Source organism: Homo sapiens, chromosome 1, assembly GCF_000001405.40.
Source record: "Homo sapiens chromosome 1, GRCh38.p14 Primary Assembly".
NCBI lineage: Eukaryota > Metazoa > Chordata > Mammalia > Primates > Hominidae > Homo > Homo sapiens.
In genome coordinates, this window is record NC_000001.11 from 66587533 (window position 1) to 66613699 (window position 26167).

The 26167-nt window shown below is 38.3% G+C and overlaps 1 protein-coding gene and 1 long non-coding RNA gene across 56 annotated transcripts in view; both read left to right on the forward strand.

The window, feature by feature from the left end:
• SGIP1 (SH3GL interacting endocytic adaptor 1) overlaps positions 1 to 26167 on the forward strand; it is a 217779-nt gene that overhangs the window by 54172 nt on the left and 137440 nt on the right. The gene's annotated exons all lie outside the window — the stretch shown is intronic.
• On the forward strand, positions 6183 to 25063 carry LOC124904196 (uncharacterized). Its single transcript, XR_007066156.1, has 2 exons — positions 6183 to 18436; positions 18908 to 25063. It is a non-coding gene; the product is annotated as an uncharacterized LOC124904196 (long non-coding RNA).

Consider the following 26167-nt stretch of genomic DNA (forward strand, 5'->3'; position numbering starts at 1 on the left):
TTTATATGACTTTTTTGGGGCCTCTTGTTACGTTGAAAACCCCTGTTCATAACAGATTAGAATTAGGCTTATTATTGCTTAATCCTAACTAGGTTCCTAGACTGCCAGTGCTTATGTGAACATTCTAGGATACTGCTAATTCTAGTTGACATTACCTTAACAAATTCTGGGGAGTCATCTTTCTGATAGTGGAACAAAGATCCTATTTAATTAACCACATTGCCTCTACCTTAAATAAGCCCACTTTTTCTAATTTGATCCTCTGTCAATCATCTTCACAAAGGTAAGGAAGATGAAGGCCAGAAAGGGAAAGGAGGAGAAAGAAAGGAAAAAACCCTTGTAAAACTTGGTAGTACTAAGTCTTCTCTCAATAAAAGCATCTACTTCCTTTAACCTTTACCTGGAACCTCTATTACTTGCACTTTTTGCTTTTTGATCTTCTTTTCATTAAACAAGACAATAACAAGAAGGGCAACAACAACAAAATCATGGGGGTATTACTTGATCTGAATTACAATATTAGCTCTTAAACTCAAAAACAAAATCTGCTGAAGTATTTATGGAAGTATGCTCTGTTTGTTATTTAGACCCTCTTTGTAATAATTTCACTTATTAAACTTCCAGTGGGGCCATGTTTTATTCTTTGATTCGGGAGATTGCCGGATCATCTTTTAGGATCACTAACTAAAGAAAATGGAATAGCTCCATATATATTTGTCTCCTTGAAAACATCAGAGTATTAAGGCAAATACTGCTGCTGCCTATAGCCCAAGTTGCCCCTGACTCACTGTAGTATCTCTGGGAAGGTACTTGCCCTCATTTTCCTTCAGCATCTCTACCTGCAAAACAAAAAAATATTAGAACTTCCCCTACTTCACTGGACTGTGGAAGAAAAGTAGAGCAAAGTGTTTCAATGTTCTGTGAAAGACAGATTTGTTCATATGTAACATTTGTCACTATTTGAGACCATATACTCCAAGGCAGAGATGTAGTCAGTCTAATATAGTCAGTCTAAAATTACTCTATAGTAATTTGACTTTTACAGCAAAATAAAAGAAATAATAATTACTTGAAGAAGTTAATTTTTCACTCTTTCTAGTTAGTTCTTTTTTTTTTTTTTTTTTTTTGCATTTTTAAAAATTTCACTCCAGACCTGTGATCTACAAAGCTCTAAGTGCAGTTAACTTTCACGGTGTCCTATTTTCATTCTTCATTCTTACTACCCTTTTGGTTTCACATTTAGTTTGTGTCTTATTCTTTGCAGATCATTAGCAATATATTCTCAGTTGAATATCTTCTTGGAAGGAACCAAAACTTCATTAGTAGCAGTAGCATTTGAATTTTAAGGTTTTAAATAAGGCAAACATACTGTCTCCTTGGTTTGAGAACTTTAAAGGTAAAATTTGGTAGAAATGTGATAAGAAAAGAAAAAAAATTCTCTACTGAGCACAAGAAGCAAAAACAGAACTCTTATTCTTTCTTAAATTTTCTCCAACAGTAAAACATGGGCCTGTTTTAATCAATATTAAATTATATCTTACATTCTGTTTAGCATCTGAATATGTCATCATTAATTTTTTCCACTTAGATTCCTAATACCTACATGGTAACTTTTTCTGATAAAAGTTTACATATATATATATATATATATATATATATATATATATATATATATATATATATATGTAAGGCTTGGGGTAAAGAGAAGGTGAAGGATTCAGAAATTTCTCATGACTTAAATGGAAAAAGAATGAATCAATTTAATGTTTGCTGAAGAGGCTAAGACCTGCCTATTTTAGACTTTGTTTTCTTAAATAATTTGGGCACAAAAAAAAAAAAGAAATTCTGTTCTTAACCCCAATTTCTCTTCTTTTCTCAAAAACAAACAAAACAAATTCCCTAAATACTGGACTAGAAGGGCAAGAGTCCCTGAAGCAAATTCAAACTGTTGGCTTTTCTGGGCCATAAATTCCAGAAGAATGGATTTTCCCAGGGGCTCTTGAGCTTGTGATGGGACTTTGTGCCTCCCCACCAACCAGCTTCCAAACAATGCCTGTGGTAAAAACCCAAATGCCTGTGAAAAACACTCTCCTGATGCCATATTTGTTTGTATGTAATTACCCCCAGCCCCTGAATTCTCAACAAATGAGAGTGTTTGACAGCATATTCCTAAGATATTTTCTTTAAGTAAAGGTTTTTATACTTAAGGAATCATATTCAGGTGTCGTGGAAATGTCTAGCTATTTAAACCCTCCATGGCCTATACAAATCTCAAATATTTTTCTGACTACCAAGGTTCTACTACATCCTTTTGGCCTGGCTTAAGTCTCATCTCTTCAATAAAATTATTATCCATTGTCTTGTGAAATTTATGTTGCATTTATAGACAGTGACACACAATTTGTCACATGATGATGGAATATTGCAGATTCTCTCTTTGTTCCCTGTGTGTGAGTTGCCCCATTCAGGTGTTAAATTCCTTGAGGCAGGATTAGACTAAGACCTCAAGTGACTCTAGGTACTAAAGGGATTTTTGCATCCCCTACAACCACCACGTCCAATTCAAAAATCAAAATGATGTCATTCAGTCACATAAGGATAAGAGAGGCTAGCAAATTTCAAAAATTTTCATACTCATTTTGAGAAATGTCATTTTTAACATTGTTTCCCATTTTTAGTGGGACAAGCAAATGCATACATGGCCCACTGGATAATCCTACTTACTTTGGAGATAAAAACACATGTTATTTTTCTTGTGCATTCCTAGGAACAATTAGAATCTACCCACATCTGTTTGATTAAGGAAGTCCTTTAGTAAACTGTATGAAATTGGATGACATGTTAGAAAATAACTTTCATCTAATTATGGGTTGTATAGGTGTGGATTCTGTATATCAGAATTTATTTTATTTTACTTTTTATTTTTACTTTTTACAGAGATGTGGCCCAGCCTGGAGTGCAGTGGTGTGATCCTAGCTCACTGCCACCTTGACTTCCTGGGCTCAAGTGATTCTTCTGCCTCAGCCTCCAAGTAGCTTGCCAAAACTTGGAAGCAACCATGATGTCCTTAGTAGGTAAATGAATAAACCCCGATACATCTAGATCGTAGGATATTATTCAGTGCTAAAACGAAATGAGCTATCAAGCCAGGAAAAGACATAGAGGAATCTTAAGTGCATATTACTAAGTGAAAGAAGCCAATCTGAAAAGGTATGCACCACCACACTTGGCTGATTTTTCAATGTTTTGTAGAAATGGGGTGTCCTTAGTTGCCCAGGCTGGTCTCAAGTGATCTGCCCCCCTCAACCTTCCAAAGTGCTAGAGTTACAGGCCTGATCCACTGCACCTGGCATATATCAGAATTTCTTAAAATGAGAAATACATTTTCTTTCTGTAGCCCAGCTGTCAGTGGCTCACTTGTCCTCCTTTTCAAACTGCCCCAACAAAATATCCACTCTTACCAACATTTCCATATTAGTGATCAATGTAAATTTTTTAAGGCAATGGAGGTATTTTTATATCATGCACCCACAGTAAACTTGACATCGTCTGTGTTCATTGACTTTTCTGTACAGTTGAGCACTGACCATCTTACTGCAGGAGTGAGAAGAGGTCTCTGACCCTTCCCTCTATCTACAGCCTTTCTACACATTCTGAATTTGGTCTGGAAATATCTTACCAAACCATTTCACCAACAATGCCATATTCCTGCTAACAAGGTATCTTGATCCAATTGTTAACAATAAAATTTTCTCAGATAATTGTACCTTGTTTAGGCCAAGAATCTGATTCTTAGCCTCAACATAAGCCCGTTAGAATGATCTAGGTGATGAACACAGATTCTTTCTCATCCTCATTTTGATAAAGTTCCTTCTTTTTCCAGTCCTGCTTACTGTATTTTTTCTTTTTAATAGACTTTTTAGAGCACTTTTAAGTTCACAGCAAAATTGAGCATAAAGTACAAAGATTTCCCATATATCCCCTGCCCCTACACATGCACAGCCTCCCCCATTATCAACATCCCCCATTAGAGTGTGAAGGGGGCCAGCCCCTCCACACCTGTGGGTGTTTCTCGTCAGGTGGGACAAGAGACTGAGAAAAGAAATAAGACACAGAGACAAAGTGTAGAGAAAGAACAGTGGGCCCAGGGGACTGGCGCTCAGCATAGGGAGGACCAGCGCGGGCACTGGTCTCTGAGTTCCCTCAGTATTTATTGATCACTATCTCTACCATTTAGGTGAGGGTGATGTGGCAGGACTATAGGGTAATGGTGGGGAGACAGTCAGCAGGAAAACGTGAGCAAAGATCTCTGTGTCATAAGTAAGTTTAAGGAAAAGTGCTGTGCCTCCATGGGCACGTAGGCCAGATTTATGTCTGACTTTACACAAACATTTTAGTGCAGTAAAGAGCAGTATTGCCACCAGCATGTCTCACCTCCAGCCATAAGGTGGTTTTCTCCTATCTCAGTAAATAGAATGCACGATGGGGTTTTACACCAAGACATTCCATTCCCAAGGACGAGCAGGAGACAGATGCCTTCCTCTTATCTCAACTGCAAAGAGGCCTTCCTCTTTCACTAATCCTCCTCAGCACAGACCCTTTACCGATGTCGGGCTGGGGGACGGTCAGGTCTTTCCCTTCCCATGAAGGCCATATCTCAGACTATCACATGGGGGAAACCTTGGACAATACCTGGCTTTCCTGGGCAGAGGTCTTTGTGGCCTTCCGCAGTGTATTGTGTCCCTGGGTACTAGAGATTAGAGAATGGCAATGACTTTTACCGAGCACACTGCCTTCAAACACATTTTTAACAAAGCACATCCTGCACAGCCCTAAATCCATTAAACCTTGAGTCAACACAGCACATGTCTCTGAGGGCACAGGGTTGGGGCTAGGGTTACAAATTAACAGCATCTCAAGGCAGAAGAATTTCTCTTAGTACAGAACAAAATGGAGTTTCTTATGTCTACTTCTTTCTACATAGACACAGTAACAGTCTGATCTCTCTTTCTTTTCCCCACGGAGTGATACCTTTGTTACATTTATAAACCTACATAGACACATCATTCTCCTTCAAAGTTCATAGTTTACATTAGGATTGACTCTTAGTGGTGTACATTCTATAGGTTTGGGCAAATGTGTAACAACACGTATTCACCATTATAGAATCATAGAGAATAGTTTCACTGTCCTAAAAAGCTGTGCTCTGATTTCCCTCCCTGACCCTACCCCTGGAACTACTAATCTTCCTATTTTCTTCATAGTTTTACTTTTTCTACGATTTCATATAGTTGGAATCATACAGTATGTATGTAGCCTTGCCTTTCCTTCCTTCCTTTCTTTCCTTCTTTCTTTCTTCTTCTTCTTTTTTTTTTTTTTTTTTTTTTTTTTTTTTGAGAAAGGGTTTCACCACATTGCCCAGGCTGATCTCGAACTCCTGGATTCAAAAGATCCTCCCACCTTTGCCTCCCAAAGTGCTAAGATTGCAGGCATGAGCCACTGTGACTGGCCTATGTAGCCTTTTCAGATTGGCTTCCTTAACTTAGTAATATGCATTTAAGCTTATTCCATGTCTTTTCCTGGCTTGATAGCTCATTTCTTTTTAGCACTGAATAATATTCCACGGTCTGGATGTACGATGGCTTATTCATTTATTCACCTACTGAAGGACATCATGGTTGTTTCCAAGTTTGGGCAAATATAAATAAAGCTGCTATAAACGTCCATGTGCAGGTTTTTGTGTGGACAGAGTTTTCAACTCATTTTACTAAATACCAAGGAGCACAATTGCTGGATCATTCAGTAAGAGTATGTTTAGTTTTATAAGAAACTGCTAGATTGTCTTCCAAAGTGGCTGTACCACTTTGCGTTTCTACTAGCAATGAATAAGAGTCCCTGTTGCTCTACAATTCTGTTTACCTTTCACATGGATTGATGGTCAATTGTGTCATAGCACTTACTACAACATGTGGCTGATTTGACACATAGCTCCCTTGTAATGGTCTCTTCTACTCATTTAGAAAACATGGAATACTGGTATGAGCTACAAGGCACAATGAATTTCCCTTGATAGGTCAAAAAGAGACCCAGCTTAGCAGGCACAGGGGCTCATGCCTGTAATTCCAGCTACTCAGGAGGCTGAGGTGGAAGGATTGCTTGAGCCCAGGAAGTGGAGGCTTCAGTGAGCCATGATCTTCATGTATTCCAGTCTGGGCAACAGAGCAGGACCCTGTCACCAAAAAAGATATAAAAACAAACCCAGCTGCGGCCCATTTCGGGTCCTCATTTGCTCTGTAACTTGCCAAGTTTTTCTTTTTAAAAAAATCTCTTATATTTCCTGTTTTTCTAAATAAGATTAAGAGATTCCAACATACTTTAAAGAATATTTATCTAATAATATTCTTAAAGAATAGAACACATATTCCGATTAGCATTGAATGTTTCTTAATGAATAATATTACAAGAAATGAAATAAGACTATTATTCATGGTTAACCAATAACAAGAGTGTGTTTTTCTTTCTTCACAACTTAAAGTTATAAAGTGGAAAGTGAGTATAAGTTTAGAAATTTTTAAATATTTTGGTAGCCATAAAATCTAGAAGTAAGAACAAAAGTTGTTCATAGAGTATTATAATGGGAATAAACAGCTATGTGAAAGGAAAAAAATATAAACTTTTTTTCATTTTAATGTAAAGGTGTGTACCTATCTAAAATTCTTAACACTTATTTAGTCCCCCAAATTATTTCTTTGTATTTCCTTGTAGGTCTCCTTGGGAAACTTGTTCCAATTCAACTATTAGACATATTGTTATTAACATTAACTTACTTTCTTACCCTGTAAATATAACTTTTTTTCAGTAGTTTTATCATCTGTGATGAGATTTGTTCAGTGGTTTGTTAGTGTGATGAAGAAGAGTGTGGTTTAGGAAGGTTGGTTCACAACTAAGCAAAGTGGCTTCAGAAAACTCACTTGGGTCTCTATTTCCCAGGTCTGGCCCTTAGCCTTGGAGATCCAGGTACTTGGTTTTGCCAGTGCTCAGTGATGAGCAGGCTCTGGGAATGTGGGAGCAGTCATGCGGCCCAGACTCACCAGAGATTTGCATATAAAGATTTGAATATAAAATAAACTCCGGTTTATTAACTTGTACTAAGGAAGAAAAGGCCAAGGAGAAAGAGCGGCAGTGGAGACGCACACTGAGGGCATCCCTCTCCTAGCTTGGGTGGGTTGCTGATATTCTCAAGTCCTCAGTCCTCATCTATACATGGGGATAATGATAGGACCCAACCTCACAAGATTGTGGGAGACTTAATGAGGTAATGTATAGAAAATGCATTACCACTCTGCTTGTCACTTTCTAAACACTCAAATATTAGGAGAAGAAAATATTTTTCGCTCCTTTGGTGGGTGCTTTCTCTCTCAGAATGAGATGTTTCCTGGATGTGTGTGGAGTCAGACTAAAATGGAATCAGGAGATTGTAATGAAGGAGTTCCTGGCTTGAGCCATCCTTTCACACTACAGAGACAAATTTTCCAGGGGCACGCTGTTTACTGGGAGCTCCTCACCTGAACCATGCTAAAGACACATTTATCAGATTTGTTTTGCTAAATATCGTTTTCATACACTTCGTGCTGATCATTGGCTTTTCAGCTGGCATGACCTTTCTTTAGCTCTGTTAACACCACTGTTAACAAACAGCTGGTACAGATGTGGCAATATCTTTGCCAGTGCCTGTGGCAGACATCAAGTGTCAACTGGGTTCTCTTCCTGCTGAGCCTGAACTCACCCTCCAAATTCTTCTCATCACTGACCTCCAGGCAGCCACTACCAATGGCTCATACTTTTTACTGGAAGTAAAATGTATTTGTGATCCGGGGAATAGGCCACAAAGAAGTCATCAGTCCCTGCTTATAGCTGAAAACATATTATTTCTCATCAGTGTGCTGTTTCTATTAATCAAGTTTTCACCATAATAAGGGTGATAACTTTCAAACCTTCCACAACCTCACAAAACATGAGCAGATAAAGATAAAAGTTATATTGGTGAACTCCTGAGTTCCACTCTCAGGTTTTGTGCATGTAAGGGAGCTTGTGCTTTTAACATTTCCATTTACTAGCTTTTCTGACCTTTTCATAAAATGTGCATTAAGAGTGATTAATTAAACAAGCCATAATATGGAATCCATATTATGGAATATTGCTTAGTGATAAAAGGAATGAAATACAGATGTATACAACAAACTGGATCTATCTCAAGGGCATTATGTTGTGTTGAAAAGGCGAATCTCAAAATGGTACATACTGTATGAGTCCATTTGTTCATATTCTTGCAATGACAAAATTAGAGAGATGGAAGAGAGATTAGTGGCTTCCAGTGGTTTGAGGAGGGGGAGGAGGAAGGTGGCCATGACTATTAAAGGGCAGCACAAGGAATCCTTTTAATAGAACTGTTCTGTAGCTTGACTATGGTAGTGAGCAAAAGAATCTACATGTGTTATAAAATCACATTTAAAATACAAACCTACACAAGTGCACAAGTGCACATAAAACAGGTGAAATCTGAATAGGTGGGTGTATTGTATTGATGCAGGATTTTTCTTCTCAGTCACTTTGCAAGGCAGCTGGCGTGCCCCAGCTAACCAATGTTATAGCTTGTACCCACATTCAGCAGTTCCTGAGCTCTTGTACCACGCCCAAGAAGAATGAGGATATGTTGGACATTGAAGTATAAAGAGGGCAGAAAAGAATTTTATTGAGTGATGGAACAGCTCTCAGCAGAGAGGGGATGCAGGGTGGGTGGGGTGGTTCCCCTACCAGAAGGCAGGAAAGTCCCCTGTGTGGCTGGGTCTGGGACCTTTTATGGGCTCAGAATGGGGAGTGTGTGCTGATTGGTTTGTGAGTATGCTGACAGGGTAAAGCAAAGACATCACTCAGATGTGGGCACAACAGTGTAGAAAAACCAATTAGGAAAGGGTCGGTATATGTAAAATAGGTGAAAGGTGGAAACAGATCAGAGGAAAGCACATCAAAGGGGAAGATAAGTTCTCAATCTGGTCCAAGGATTTAACTTTCAGGCTTTAAACTGTCTTCTGCTTGGTGGTGGGATTTCACTGGGAACCTGCCCCTATCAGCCTAGGCATTTGGCTGCCTTCTGCCACTCTAAGTATCAATGTCAATTTCCTGATTGTGATATTGTACAAGATGTTAACACTGGAATAGGAAATTGGGTGAAGGGTATGTGGGGTCTATTATTTCTTACAACTACAATTATCTCAAAATATTTTTTAAAAGATCTGCAATGAGCATTTCAAGAATTGCAATTGCATCTATTTCAATTGAGTATCAAATAAAGGCAATTATTCCTTCAAAATAGGAAAGACTGCTGCTCAAATATTTTCAAACTCAAGGTAGCTGTATTCTTAAAATTTTGTAATATTTTTACTTTGAAGACAGTCCCCAAAGATGTATTTACTCCCTCATCTGGCCTGACTTATCAATATTATAACAGAAAACTGGTTTAAAAAATTTATTTTAGTACATGTGCAGGTTTATTTAGTACATATGCAGGTTTGTTGTATAGGTAAACTCATATTACAGGGGTTCGTACAGATTATTTCATCAACCAGGTACTAAGCCTAGTACCCAATAGTTACTTTTTCTGCTTCTCTCTCTCCTCCCAACCTCCACCCTGAAGTAGGCCCCAATGTCTATTGTTCCCTTCTTTGTGTTCATGAGTTCTCTTCATTTAGCTTCCGCTTATAAGTGAGAACATGCAGTATTTGGTCTTCTATAACAGAAAACTGTTTATCCAACATTCTATTAGCCTGAGCACCTTATTTAAAACTTGACAGAATGTTTATGCTATTTGTTTTATTTTCTGTTTTAATATGAAACTGTAAAATAACTAAGCAAAAGTGAGATCTGGTGCTTTTGTCCCCTTAAAAATGGGAGGTAGGGGGAGTATTCTGCAGTACTATATATTTTCAGCCAGAGATGGCAAACATGCAGCAAGTATGTTTCCACTTAGCCCTGATTCTCCAGTCTATGACAGACATCAGATTGATCATTGCACAGAATTTTCTGAAGATCTTACTTCCTCAGAATCCTTCTCAACACACACTCAAGGTAGCCATTAACAGTAAGTTGCCATTGACACAAGATGGAACCCCCGAGTCAGCATTTAGGTACTAATTCTCCTTCTCAGAGTATGGGACTTTCTAGAGTACTCTATCCCCTGTCCATGCCAAGTAAAAAGGATTTTACGCATTAACGTTTTGTTTCCTTTCCCAGTTTCACCTCTTCTAAGCAAGATTCACATGCTTGCTGAATGTTTTTAGCTTGCATAAACAAAAAGTCGACAAATTGAGTAATTTTGCATTAAAATACAACATTACTGAAAAAGTAGTACCATATACAGCTGGTAAACTGTGAACAGATTTTAAAGTCCTATATAGTTCAAGCAGAAAGGGAACACAACTGGCCAGCATGGAGAAAAATGAGTTCTCCTGGGCAAGTATATATTTTTAAAAAGGCATTTGTCCCTTTTTCCAACAATTAAAGTAGCAACCTTAAGTGTTAAAGATTATCAGTATCTAGATGCTGACACTAGTTACTTGATTTGATAGTAAAGGGGTCTTTTAGTCCAAAAGCAAGAGAAATGGGTGATTTTAATTTATTTTCTTTACATGTACTCTATCCAGACTAGTATAAGGAAAGCAATAAAAACTAACACATCATAGAATGGTTTACCTGAAAGAGATAATTCATCTACTTCAAAGCCCCTGAGTACCTACTGTGTTAGAGCCACAGTTTCCCAACTGTGTGCCTAATTTAAATTTTAGCTTTGGAATGCTTTAAATTTCCCAGGAAAACGAAGTGAAATCTGTCAGATGCTGAATGAGCTTAAGGTACTTCACACTTTCAACCTCTGGCCACGTGTATTAGTTTGTTCTCATGTGCTATAAAGAAATACCTGAGACTGAGTAGTTTATAAAGAAAAGAGATTTAATTGGCCCACGGTTCTGCAGGCTGTACAGGAATCATGGCAGCATCTTCTGGGGAAGCCTCAGAAAACTTACAATCGTGGCTGAATGTGAAAGGGGAGCCAGCACTTGACACAGCCAAGCAGGAGGAAGAAAGGTGGCGCAGAGGTGCCACACACTTTTGAACAACCAGATCCCATAATAACTCAGTATCACCAGAACATCACCGAAGAGATGGTGCTAAACCATTCACGAGAACTCCGACCCCACGATCCAATCACCTCCCACCAGGCTCCCTCTCCAACACTGGGGATTACAACTGAACATCAGATATGGGCAGGGACACAAATCCAAACCATATTACCATGCCACATTCCTTTAGATGATGTCATATCCTTGCAAAGCCGAGTTTTAGAGGCTTACTGGGATGAAATGCAAGCACAGTCCAAAATGTAGAAAAAATGTACAGAAAAATGTAGAATGAGAAATGAAGAAGGCAGTGTTCTACCCAGGGCTCAGCAAGCAACATACCCCTCATTAGTAAATAATTATGGTTAGTTAAAAATACAATTCGGTTGTTATTTTTCTTTCAATTTATGTGTATTTTTTCAAACAACTACTAAGTTATTAAGGACATAAATGCTCAAGTTACTCGAACCTAACTACTTAATGAATGAAACTGTTAGGTATTTCTGTTTTATGAAAATATTACTTAAACATCAAATGAATTTGGGAACCTCTGTCCTAGGGCATAGGGGAGCATATTTCATCATGTTATTTCATTTACTCCTCATAAAATCCCATAAGATAGGTATAATCAGCCTAATTTTATACTTGAAGAAATTGAGATTTACAGAGTTTTAGTGACTTGCCCAAATCTACACCACTGGTAGGTGACTGGGGCTACAGGGGCTAAGTGACATGCCTAAAAATTCACAGCAAGTCAGAGGCAGAAATAAAACAAACAAAATCCTGGTGTCCTGATTCTCCTCCCAGGAGAATCCCTTTTACAAAGCTGTACTCTCTCTCCAAATCCTCCCACGCCTTCTCTCTTCTGAGTCTGAATGTACAGTATGAAAAGATAGACTTCCATGCTACACATCTTATTTAACTACGGGTGTATTTATGCTGCCTTAATAGCTGCCCCACTTGATTTTGAGTATACGAGGAAAATGTACAAAATACTATGACTGAGGATTTTTGTTCAGTCTGAATAAATGCTAAAACAATATTAAAACAACTTTAGGCTCCTGTAACCGAGGAGGCTGTGAGGTCTTACAGAGAATATTACCCTCTCCTCGGGTTTCCTGTGGCTAGATGGCTGATCCTGCATTTCAGGGAATTGGACACTTGGGATCTATTTTCAACCTGATGAACTCCAATTGAACACTAAAGAGAGTCTAGATTTTCCCTTCAGCCTTCACAGAAATGATCCCTGATACCATCTTTGTAACCCAGAGGGGCGGGCAGTATTAAAACCCAAGGTCCAATGAATGCTGATAGAACCTTTACAAGGTTTGACACATTGGTCTCCACTGTAATGGGTATTTAAAACACAGCTTTCTCGGGCTCAGTGAGTTTTTGCTTTGCCTTTGTTCAGTGGCATTTAACATGCAGCCTTATGAACAGCACGTTAAACAGTCAGCCTTTGTGCCTTTGGGCTCATTTCAATAGGTTTATAGAAATTTAATTTTTTAAAGAAAATTCATTACCGAAGTTGTGTGATTATGACTCACATTTAAACAAAAATTCTTATCCAAGGTCGAATCTTTTTTCAATTTGAATAGCTTTCGTTTGTTCTACCATTCTGCTAGAAACTAGGGATTCAAAGGGGAACTAGCACAGAGACCCCCCTCCTAGAAATGGAAGTCATGTCAATGAAAAGTCACACTCGTGGTAGTTGTCATAATAAGGCATTTACAAGCTCTGATGGTGGCAGCAAGGAAAGAATAACGAGTTCCACCTAAAGGATGCTACCAAGGCAACGTACATAGAGAAGGCGATGATTATGTTTTATCCCGAAGCACAAGTAGGAGTTTTGCTGGGTGAACATGTGAGAAAGGGAATTCAGAGCAGAGAGAAGAGTGTGCTCAGAAACGAGAGGCTGAAACAGTGCGCGATTAGAAAGGATGCAAGTGGTTGAATGTTACTGGACTATGAAGTGTCAGAGAGAGAGCAACCAGTAAAGCCAGTGGGTAGATTAGGTCATGATAATAAGTGGTCCCCTAAGCCATGCAAGCCTGTGGGTTTTACCAGAAAATGTGCTGATTTTAGGCAGGGGCATGACATGATTAGGTTTGCAAACTAGAAAACTCATTCCACCAATAGTGTGTAGAGTAGCTTGGAACAGGTAAGATACCAAAAACAGGAAGGATCTCTTGGGATGGTGTTTAGTAAACACTGTTTACATGGTGAAACCTTACTAATTTAGACTCGTTTTTGAAAATTTGTGGTGCTTTAGTGCTCAAACCTTTTCCTACTAGTCTAAACGACTTCTCCACATGAACACAGATTGTAGTGCTTCGCTTTCCAGTACACACATGCTGGTCCTACTCAAAAGAAGTAAAGGCCGGGCGCGGTGGCTCACGCCTGTAATCCCAGCACTTTGGCAGGCCGAGGCGGGCGGATCAAGAGGTTAGAAGATCGAGACCATACTGGAGAACACGGTGAAACCCCGTCTCTGCTAAAAATACAAAAAAAATTAGCTGGGCGTGGTGGCGGGCGCCTGTAGTCCCAGCTACTCGGGAGACTGAGTCAGGAGAATGGCGTGAACCTGGGAGGCGGAGCTTGCAGTGAGCCGAGATCGCGCCACTGCACTCCAGCCTGGGCGACACAGAGAGACTCCGTCCCAAACACAAACAAGCAAACAAACAAACAAAAACAAAAGAAGTAAAAAGATTCTGCTAAAAGCAACCTTTATAGTGCTTCAGAAAACTTACACAGTTTTCTCTGTCCATTATTTTTGTCAGAGTTGGGGAGGGGTTATTTGTTTTTGAGTATGTGCATGTGTGTGTGTGTGAGAGAGAGAGAGAGAGAGAAAAGAATAGAATAGAATCCTAACAATCTATAATGAGAAGAAAGCTAAATGATCTAGTCCAGTGTTTTCAAAAATTTATTTACTTAACCCCCACAGTAATGAAAACATGTTCCACTGGACCCAGAATACAGATACACATATAAAAATCAAAAGTGAAGTATTTTACAAAAAAAAGCAGAAACAAACTAAAATACCTATTCTTCCTGTATGTAAGGAGCCCTACTTTTTTTACCGCATTCAATTTCATTTTTAGAATGCTTGTCAAGACCCTGTAAATTGATTTCCTGACTGATTAATGAGTTGTTGCCTGCAGTTTGAAAAATACTAATTTAGTTCAACTTTCATTCTGATTCAGAAAGCTTTTCCTAATTACAGATTAGTAAAGCAATATCTCTAAATTAGTACATAGATCCCTTTCTCTGTAGACCTCACCTTTCTGATGCAATGTCCCAAACATATCTGCCTAATTCCTTTACATACAGACCAAGGAGCTGCTAACATCAGGTGTACATAGAGGAGACTTCATTAAGCTGAGAATCAGTGATCTGGAGAAAGCAGAACATTGGCCTCTCAGACCCCTGGGATTTTCTACTAGAAAAGCTTGAAAGTCCAAATAGATCCAAATTTGAAGTCCAAATAATAGATCTGAAAGATTCAAAGTTTGGGTGGGTGACAGAAAGAACCTTGTCATAGGATTTGAGAGACCTGAAACTCGACCCATGTGACCTGAGCTTCCCAAATACTGAGCCATGGAGCAGTTGCCTTAGAATCGCCTGGAGACCTTTTTAATGTATAAATTCCTGGGCCTCAATCCAAGAATTATGATGGAAATATGAACATTTTAAAAGCTCCCTGCATGATCCACATGTGACCATGATGGGTAATTTCTGATTTGGGCTTTCTGAACCCCGGGAACTTCTTCTAGAGAATGGTGGTAAGATCTGCCTCCCTGCCATGATTGTTATGGAGAACAAATGAAATACTGGATGTATGACGAGTTAATGGTTGCAGCACACCAACATGGCACATGTATACATATGTAACAAACCTGCACGTTGTGCACATGTACCCTAGAACTTAAAGTATAATAATAAATAAATAAATAAATAAATAAAAAGAAATACTGTATGTAAAAGCCCCAAAACAGTCAAAAGCCCTACAGGTGCAAGATACTAACGTAAAGATATATCTAATGCTCTCTCCTGGCTCACCTCGAAAATTACTAATAATAACTAGATGTCTAAAAAGAGAGATTCTTTTCTTGTAGTAAGTTTGCACATTTAGCTCATGGCAATACCAGAAATTTCCTAGAACTTAGGAAGAATATTTTACATAAATTTTTAGAAATGTTAGGAAATTAAGCCCTCAATTAAAACTTTGGCCTCTCTGAAAGAAAATAACATTCTGTGCTCTAGTTATTACCTGTGGGAAACAATGGGGTTTGTTTTTGTTCTTGTTTTCTCTGCCTTTCAAATATATATTAGAAGAAAGATATAAGAAAGTTCACCTTATACATCCTGCAAGTAGGTGAAGCCTAAATGAATCAGTCCTAAAATAGATGATAAATGTTAAGCTAATGCTTTTTGACAAGCATTTGTCTTGGAGAAAGAGAAAGAAATAGAATGTTCAGTTTTTGAGGACAAGGTATTAACAGTTTCTCAGGCTATTTATGGAAAAAAACTTATTTCAGTTCTTTCATGGTGCTTATCAAGTAGAGATTTTTATTTAATAAGCATTAGATGTGTACTAGGGTTATATAGAAATCACATCCTATGTAAGAATTATATATCAAATCCCATACTTTCTGAGTGACAGAATTTGGACAGTATCTATGTTAGTGATCCACAAAGTTAAATTTTCATTTTAAAAATGAGCAAACAATGCTTTCTCAATGGTTTCATATATTATAAAGAATTAAAGAATTTTTTAACTGAAACTAAAGGACTAGAATTAGAATATTCACTTGTATTGCTTCTGATACAGCATCAGAAATATAAATCTAGAACCGATCACACAGACCACACACTGTACTGGAAACACATTAAGAGCTATGAAACACATTGAGAGATGCTTGATTAAAAGCTTAATATAAATTCTCAGGGTAGAAAGCCTAATTTTTTTAAGCAAAATGATTAAAGCAAGGTCTAGAATGGAAGAATAAATTAGTTAGAAAAAGAGACCAATCTAAGTGTGGTTAAGATTATTATCTTTGATAGATCTATGTCTAAACAATTACTTTCCAACTTTCCCCCAATATCTTAATAACAAAAGTTGCTATGGAGTATTTTGTTTTCATTTTAAATAGCTAGATATAATCAACACCTAGCTGCTTTATCAACTTCAGATGAACTTTGGAATGTGTTAGTGGAGGGAATATACTAAGAATCGGAAAAGAGTCCAGAGGATATGGACTACAGTGTTTTGTCTTCTTTCCTTTTATTCCATAATTGATCAGAGAATAACAACACAGAAATATGTGTTGGGCAGCACATTATAGTTTATGAATCCCCGTTATATGTGTTAGCTTATTTCACTTTCATGGTAACCTGGTGAAATAGGTAGGATCTGTCTCTGGAAAAATATCTCTAAGATATGCTAAATATGATGAGATGTTTAAGAAGAAAAAGTGCTGGGGAGGGAGGGACATGTTTCTACCGATAAAAGAAGTTACTTAATTTCTCATCCCTTGGGTTTATTACCAGAGTTCTGAGTTTCGTCTCATAATGTAGCAAAATATTCCATGCAAGAAACCACTAGAATGCACCAGCAAAAGGAAGATGCCGAAATAATGAATGAAAAAGCATTTCCATCATGGTCGTCTCAGACAATGAGATTCCTCCACAGAGAAACAACATAGCATACTACCAAGTCAAATAACGTGAAAATACCAAAAGAGTCAAAATGGACAATTTATATGGTTTAAATTTTTTAAAAGTCGTTTTCTACATTAAGCTGTGTAAACTTCAATCTGAACCCTCACTCTACCATTGCTTTGTTATGTGACCTTGACCAAGTCCGTTTAACTTTCTCTCAACCCATTTTCTCATCCAATGGTAAATAGACAAAATAATGCTTATCTCATAGGATGGTTGGGATGATGAAGTATGTGATGTAATGAATATCCAATTCACAAACTATCACCACTTTGTAAAAATGTGAGTTACTGAATTGGATCAGCAGTGGGTTAACTGGTTGTTTGTACAGTCTGAGACATCTCAGTCTTCTCTGGTCAACCTGTAGCCCCTTACTTCTGACTGTGAATCATTTTGAGTTCTTTCCGCTCCCTCAAGCCAACATCCAATCATTCACTTAGTTTTTCCTACTTTATCTCCTAAATAATTCTTTAATCCACTATTTTTCTACTTCTCCATTTCTATAGCACTGTCCTCTTTTAGGGCTCCCATCATATATTTTGACTAAATAGTCACCATGTTCTCTAAACTGGTCTCCTTATGTCTAGTCTTTGCTCTTCACTTCATCTTCCCTGCTATGTACAAATCTAACCCCATAAATGTTTCACTAACATTACATTTGCTTCCCAGGGGCTTTCAACATGAAGTCCAAGCCACTTCCATGGAACAAAGGGACCCCCATGACCTGACCCTTTAGCCCCATCTCCTGTCACTGTCTTCTTCTTATTTAGTGTTATTTACAAATAGCAAATATTTTTAGTTATTCATACACAGCATCCATTTCATCCTTCTGTGTATGACTTTGGGAGACATCCTCTGAGTAGACATTAAAGGCTTTTCATCTGACCAGCCAATTGCTCTATGGCAGTAATTCCCAGATAAAGCCCCTTACCTTACCCCAGGTACCTCCCTTAAGGGGTAGAGAAATTTAAAAAATTATAAAGGGGGAGTTGTCAAGGCAGAAAAGAGAGATGTGACACCCCCAAGTCATCTTCCTAAAGAATTGTGATGTGGCTTTGTTTTTAACCTGGATACTTGAATTAAGGGGATTGATGCCTCAGTCATTATATCAAACTGTGTTTTAAAGGTGTATGAGAGGAGGCAGTCTGGATGTCACAAAACTACTGCGCTATCTAGTGTGTCTCAGAGCCCTTAACAAACACAGCCCAAACAATGACTCACAACCCCTTTATAGCCCAAAACAAGCTGGTATTTTTGTCATGACCGTTCATCAAGGTTTTTATTTTTGATCCAGAAGGACATGTAGGTGAAGGCTAATTTGGTGTCTGAGGGTGAATGGAAAGAGGATACAACGTTTTAGCATTATTGCTCAATACCACTGATTATGTCTGTGGTTCAATTAGCCGTGTCTTGAGAGAAAAGGCAGTGTGAGTCTGAACGCTCCCGGACTGAGGCCCAGTTTTCCAGGTAAAGTTTCGATTGCTTCGCGGTTCAGCCAAGACCACCTAACCTCGATGTTGGAATTCACCTGAGTATTCTAGAAGGTACAAGTCACCTTTTTTCTCCCTCCATGCACATCTTTTCATCTGGGGAAGATCTGAGGTGTCTTAGACATAGATAATTTCAAAATATAGGAAGCATGAACTTAAGTCCCAGATTTTTTAAAAATAGGCATTATGTAGTAGGAAAAAATACTAGGCCTGTAGTCAAGCTCAAATATGTTTAAATCTTAGTGCCATTTATTCACCACGGGGTCTTACATGAGTCAGTTAATCTCTCAGAACCTCTGGCTACCCACATGTAAAAAGCGCATGGATAATACCTATCCATCAGGATTGATTTAAGGATTAAACAAGACAAGGTATGTGAAAGGGTTTAGCATTGTATTAAATAATTAGCACACAGTAGGAACTATGTCTGTTTCTTCCTTTATCATCATTGGTAATGACCAAGCTCTTTATTTCTATTTCTGCTTCTGAAATAACTGGTTTGGGTTTTTTTCTCCTTCTATTCAGCTTTGAAAGCTGCAGGTCCAGCAAAAGCACGGTGGCTGTGTAATAGGAACAGATGGATGACTAGACCAGCCAGAGGAAAAATAAGAAGGTTCCATGAGGGAGACATGACAGAGGGCTTGGCTGATTGACTGTAATTTACAGCATCCATCATCATGAGTCCAGAAACAGATACTGTGTATTCTAAGCCTGACTCAGGCTCTGATTCCTTCCAAGGTGTTAAGCAGCTCATTTAGTATCTGACGAAGAGTCATCATAATGCTCAGCATAGCTGGGTTGTCTCTGCCAAGATAATTTATCATTCACTGTTTTTACACATTAATGCAAAAACTATATATATTGAGTTCCTACAGAGTGAGGGACTTAAGTTGGGGTTTGTGGATACATTTAGGCAGCCTGTAAACTCCCAGGAATGTTATACACGGATTAGTAGATATGTTCTTGCCTGTATTTTATGAGAGGATTTATAGCTTTTATTAGATTCTCACTGGAGTTTGTGACCAAAAAGAGATTAAGAGTCACTGCTATATGGTGTAAGACTTATCATACCATGTTCATGAATATGTTTTTCCTAGAATCTTAAAAGACATACCCTGATGAAAAAGGGATTGGAGCCATGCACTGTTTCTGTGAACTGTACTACGTTGTAAAAGGAATTTTACTACATTTGATTCTCAATAACAGAATTCGAGCAGGCATTCCAAGTTGTTTCTTAATTGCTGATGAAACATGCTTGAGTTTATAGTACTCTTCTCCTAACCATAAACTTTTCCTCACTCTCTCATATTTCAAAAACGAAACACTGTTTAGTTATCTCAAATGAAAAGTGCCTCGAGGACAAGGAACCAGGACTTGGAGTTTTATCACCCACAGTGTTCAGGTAGCCCAGTATCCTTGCATATGCATTATTTATAAATAAAACCTGCTAGACACTGGGGTGTGGTCTCAGGCAGACATGAACAGCAAGCTATGTCAGATGTGGCCCACCATTGGCCACTAGCTGAATGACAGAGGATGCACCATAGCGGTGGAGTGGGTTTGGCTGGAAATTGATGGCTGAAAGTATTTGAAGTGAAAAACCAGAAGTCATCTTTGTCACTCTGTCACTAAAATAAAAACTGACAATTCAGAGATAGAAACAGTACTGCTTTTCCCCTTGCCCTCTGGCTGGATATATTCTGTGACAGGGGATTCTCCGAAAGGTCTAGAGTAATGCCCCACCCCCCTACACCATCACCACCAGGGGACACCCTCCACAAAGATGCCTGACAACTGGCCTCTTCATATGCTTTAGAGGTGAAGCCTACTTAAAAAGTTAGCACTTGGTGGAAAGGGGATATTTGGTTCCCATTTGCCATCACTGACAGTTCTTTCTATTGCTTTTTATTTTCTCTCTTCATTTAAATTTCTTTCTCTATAACAACACTAGCAAGAAAACTGAGTAGATCAGACAGAACAGACCAGATAGAGCAGATGTTCCCAGGAGTGCTGGGAGAGGAGAATAGGGGAAGCATGCGGGGATCACCAAAGATCTTGTGAGCTGAGTTCAGCGTGTACATGGTCAAGGCATTGTGTACCCCAGATGCCCACTCCTCATCCACCCATCCAGACAGCGTGAAAATGGGGCAAGAATACTGGCCTTGGGTTTCCAAGAGTCCAAATGTGACCCAGGCTCATCACTATCTATCCATGCCATGTTGGCAAATTGCAGGACTTCTCAGAGAGGTCTTCCTCATCTGCAAAGTGGAGATGATTACACCCACTTCACAGTGTAGTACTGTGAGTTTCATGTGATAATGCATGAAAAGTACATGGCAGGCATTTAATAAATGCTAGCTTACAGCTAGCTCTTCTTATTTCACAGAATCTTATTTTCTGGGAGATTAAGATGTATCCTTTTAAAACCTCATATCTGATGATAATATTTCTAATCTGTAATATGTGTATATATATTCTTGCTAATACATTTCTTAAGCAAAAATAATTACACATAATTTGACCTATATTTTGATGATGAAAAGTTACATTTTTGTAACTATTTTAAACCATTTTAAAAGCGCTTTTTACATTGATCATTGTTTAGAATATCAATTAACACACTGTGCTATAATTCAGCAGAGCTACCAGACACTGTTGTTCTGCTTCGGGCTGCTGGCCTAAAGATAAAAGCTCTCTGGTTTTCTGAAGTATATGATGTTTCATTTCCCCTCTGGCAGCTCCCATTAATACTTATGTTTAACTTTGCCCCCTTGGCTCATTCTGATTTTCTGCTGTTTTTCTAGTCTGGAAAAGAGATTAACAAGATTTTCGCTGACCTTAAAACGGGAGGAGGCACTGAGTGAGAGTGTGAGGGTCTCTTCAGTGTTGTATGGACTCGCCATGCCTTATCTCACCTTTCCTTCTGCTTCTTCATTTACTTTGCTGTATTTTTAGGGTGTTTGCTGTATGTATGATACATGCTCTTTTACAAGTGTAGATTAGCAAGTAAGTATTTAGTCGAGGTTTTTTTTCTCAGTAATGGAGGAAGTCTTAATTTAAAAGCTCCTGGTTTGGTCACTTATATCCCACAGGGATGAAGGTCACTTATATCCCACAGGGATGAAGGTCACTTTTGACACTTGAGCCTTTGCTTGGCTTGGAGCCCTCTTCTCAGTATGGTGAATGTTCCATCTGCAGTCAGGACACTGAACTAGGATCACCAATGGGCACAAGATGAATGAGATAAAACGAATGCCTTCAATTGGCTTAAAATCTAAAAGAACAAAGACAATGTAAACTGTAATATGAGGCAAAATTTGAGAAGTTTTATAATGAAGTCTTAAGTGAAATTTGGAAGAAAGGGAAAAATATCCATTTTGAAATCCAACTTCCGGCAGGTATAGTGGGCCATTTCTGAGCCAGCTTGGGAAGGGGAAGGTTTCTGTGGCCATAGTTTGAAGACAAAGTCATCCAAAGAGAGAGTCATCCAAACAGAAGCAAATATGTAGAGCACAAATGTGCAGACTTGTTTAGGGAATAGAAAGAATTTTTGTTTGGTTTCAGAGTGGAGTGCTTAGAGTTACTGTGACAGATAAAACTGGAGAAATACATCAGACCAGGTCCTAATGCCACACCAAGTAAGGAGTTCTGTGTTCTGGTGACTTCATAACAGATTGAATTCTGCGAAATCACAGAGGTTTGCACTAGTTAAGCCAAATGGGAGAACTGAACAAGATGCATGGATGTATTTAGATGACTAGCAACTCAACAGAAGAGACTAGAGCTAGCCTCTGGTTTCAACTGAGTTTCAGAGGAGAAATATCTGGGCCAACCTGACTAGGATGCTAGCAAACTTTTGAATTCAGCATATAATTTATCTTGTAAATGTGACTATTTTAGAAAAAACAAAATACATTTGTGGAGAGCACCACACAATTAACTTCATTCAGATTTGGCATTTGGATCTTGGCTTTTCTGGAGATCCCATTTCTAATGATATCTTATTCTGGGCTTTTTTTTCATCATTATTAAAGTCACCCTTTACTTTCCTTCTGCCTTTGAAGTTACAATCTCGTCAGTTCAAAGTCTTTTTAGAGCACTTAACAGAAAATTTAATCAAAACGCTGAGCCAAATTTCAGCTAAAAAGTTATTAGCGTCACTGGAAATGTGAGTCAGATTTTCAGGTAATGCTATTCAGCCAAATAGGGTTCACCACACTGTTCTAGACATTTAGAAAATAATTAGATATATTTAGTGTAGAAGTAGATACAAAAACCATACTCAGAAAAACTAAAGCTACTCTATATGCTGGAGTACCACAGAAACTAGGTATGAGTTTGTGTTCTCTCTAGGTAAAGATATCAACATTTGTTTTTCTATGTGATTATATATAGTTACTTATTACACATATATACCTCTCATATTTAATGAAGCAAGTTGGTAAAGCATACCAAACTGAAGTAAAGGGATGAAAGTTTGAGACCAGGCTCCCCTAAAATTTTCTGTGTGGCTGTGGGCCTGTTGTTTGAATTTCCCTGGAGTTCAGTTTTGCTCATCTTACCGAACCAGACATTGATCTCTTACCTGATGTTATGTAATTTAGCTACCCATTAGTTGTGTCTTATCATTGCCCCTTTCTAATCCTTCAGTGGAAACTGATTAAAAGTCACCATACAAGAACAGGAACTTTTTGCTTAAATTAGGATTTTAGCAGGAAAGAGAAGGAAACAAAACACTTTAAAGTCTTCTTCAACCATCAGCTTTAGGGGAAAAAAGGAATTCAGTAAGTCATAGTATAGATTTTTTTTTTTTAATTCCATCGATTTTAAGGATTATCCTGGGGTCAAATTTCACATTCATATTCAATTTCTCAAAAATATTTATTGCATGAAAAAGAATTAAATAATGGCATTTGCAGTTACCTGGATGGAATTGGAGACCATTATTCTAAGTAAAGTAACTCAGGAATGGAAAATCAAACATTGTATGCTCTCACTCATAAGTGGGAGCTAAGCTACAAGGATGCAAAGTCGTAAGAATGATGCAATGGACTTTGGAAACTCGGTGGGAAAGGGTGGGAGGGGGGTGAGGGATAAAGGACTACAAACTGGGTACAGTGTATACTACTCAGGTGATGGATGCACCAAAATCTAAGAAATCAACACTAAAGAATTTATTCATGTAATCAAACACCACCTGTTCCCCAAAAACCTATGGGAATAAAAAATAAAAATTAAAAAACCAAAATATTTAATGTGATAAGTGATTGATTTTGCTAAGTTTCTGAATGCATGATTTATTTAGTCTTCATAGCTAACCTGTGAGATAAGATCCATTTTGTGGATATGAATACTGAGGCTGAGAGAAGTATAAGTTTATTCATAGTAACATAAGTAGCAAATGGCAGAACCAGTTAATTATGTGGGAGTAGAGCTCAGGGTTGCAGAGAAGGGATAACGGGGTTTAAAAACAACAGCTAGTTGACTTCCAAAGAGCCAAGCTTCTCTTCTGTGTAGTGCAGAGCTGTTGCTGGGGAGTGGCTTCACAGCCAGGGACTTTGTTTCCAGTGTCTCCCATGTAGGTGAGGCCACATGGTCCATAAGCCAAACTCTTGCTGGCCAACAGTATATAGCACAATTCTGTCTCTTCCTGGCTGAAGTGGTAAAGTATCTGAGGTGACTTCTTCACATTCTCTTCCTTTTCCGTGGCAATCTTGGAGGCCATATCTCAAAGGTGATAGCTTCATGCGATGGGAGAAGTCTATGTGAACAGATCGGATGGACACAAGAAAGAGACCTAACAGCACTCTCTGATGGTTTGGCTGTGAAAAGAAAGAATCAAAGATACTTCTTAGGTTTCTGGATGGAGCATCTCGGAGGATGTTGGCACCAGTTTACTTGGAGAGGGAACGCTGGCAAAAGAACTGGCTGGGGAGGAAGATGACAGATTCAGCTTTAGTTTATACATGCCTCATGTGAACACTAGATTGTCTTGATAGATTACTGAAAATTAAATGTTACAGAATCTTAGAGTCAGTATTATTCAACAGAAGTTGTCCTAGTCCACTTGTGTTGCTATAAGGAAATACCTGAGACTGGGTAGTTTAGAAAGAGAAGGTTTATTTGGCTTTCGGTTCTGCAGGCTGCACAAGAAGCACGGCACCAGCTTCCAGTGAGGACCTCAGGCTGCTTCCACTCCTGGCAGAAGATGAAATGAAGCCAGTGTGTGCAGAGGTCACATGGTGAGAGAAAGCAAGAGAGAGGAGGGGAGGAGGTGCCAGGTTCTTTTTAACAACCAGCTCTCATAGAAATTAACAGAGTGAAAACTCATCCACCGCTTTGAGAATGACACCAAATCATTCATGAGGGATCCTCACCCATGACCCAAACACTTTCCACTGGCACCACTTCCAACATCAGGGATCAAATGTCAACATGAGATGTGGAAGACAAACATCCAAACTATAACAGAAGGAATCGGAAAGCATACTGTTGGATGGTTTGTGAAGAGATGTGGATTTTCCTCCCCTTTCTGTATTAACAAAGGAAGAGAAAGACCTTACCATTTGAAATGGGTTGGACTCTTTACTTTTATATGATGTATACTATGACAGTTTACTATTTCTCAACTCTCAACTAAAATGGTAATAATAATTATATCAATAAATGATATTAATTTTTGCTTGGGTAGCACTTGATGTATATATCCAAACCCATTTTCTCATTTAATACAATAATCATGTGAAGAAGGCATAGAATGTGAATTCTTGAGAGATTAAATGATTTTTTTTGATATTACACAGTTAGTGGTAAAGCTAAAATCTGATGTCATGTCTGACTGGCAATGTAACAAAACTCTGTGAGGATTTGAGTTCAGGAATTACGGAGGTTTAAAAAGAAGTCTCTAAATTAGTTTAAATCCCAATTAAGATTGTCAACATTGGTATATTTACATATTGTAGCAACTGGAAAACTCTGAAGTGCTAAAAACTCAGACTTGGCTTATTACTGTCAAAACTAGAAAATTTTTAAGAGTTAAAAACTGTTCAGGTATTCAGCTGTTCTGGTAAATTAAATATTCTAGTTAGGGAGAGTTTGCATTTCATAACTCAGATATAGATCATAATTTAAATGCTAGCTTTTAAACAAGTATACAGCATAGTACTTTTAACACTAAAACAATACTCAATATAATTTTGTCTTTTGGTGTTGTAGAAAACACTCTATTTGTTTAGCTTATCATAGTAAGTATTATAGAAATTAATTACTATTTCCCTGAAGTTTTCTGGCACTAGGTAATAGACATTGCTGATAGGGAAAAAAATCAGAGGATGTCACTTTCTTGTCCTTCTACTTTGTCTACCTCTCTAGTACTTTCAACGACTGCCCATTCCACTTAGAACTTAAGTTTTTTTGTGTTTTGTTTTGTTTCTGAGTCAGAGTCTCACTCTGTCGTCCACGAGGGAGTGCAGTGGTGCAATCTCAACTCACTGCAGCCTCTGCTTCTTGGGCTCAAGGAATACTCCCACCTCAGCCTCCCAAGTAGTTGGGGTTACAGGCGCATACCACTATGCCCAGCTATTTTTTGTATTTTTAGTAGAAATGGGGTTTTGCCATGTTGGCCAGGCTGGTCTCCAACTCATGAGCTCAAGTGATGTGCCCACCTCAGTCTCCCAAAGTGCTGGGATTACAGGCGTGAGCCACCTCACCCAGCCTAAAATCTAAGGTCTTTAACCTGACTTTCTAAAACTTGCATGATTGGCTCCTGGCAACCTCATCTTCATG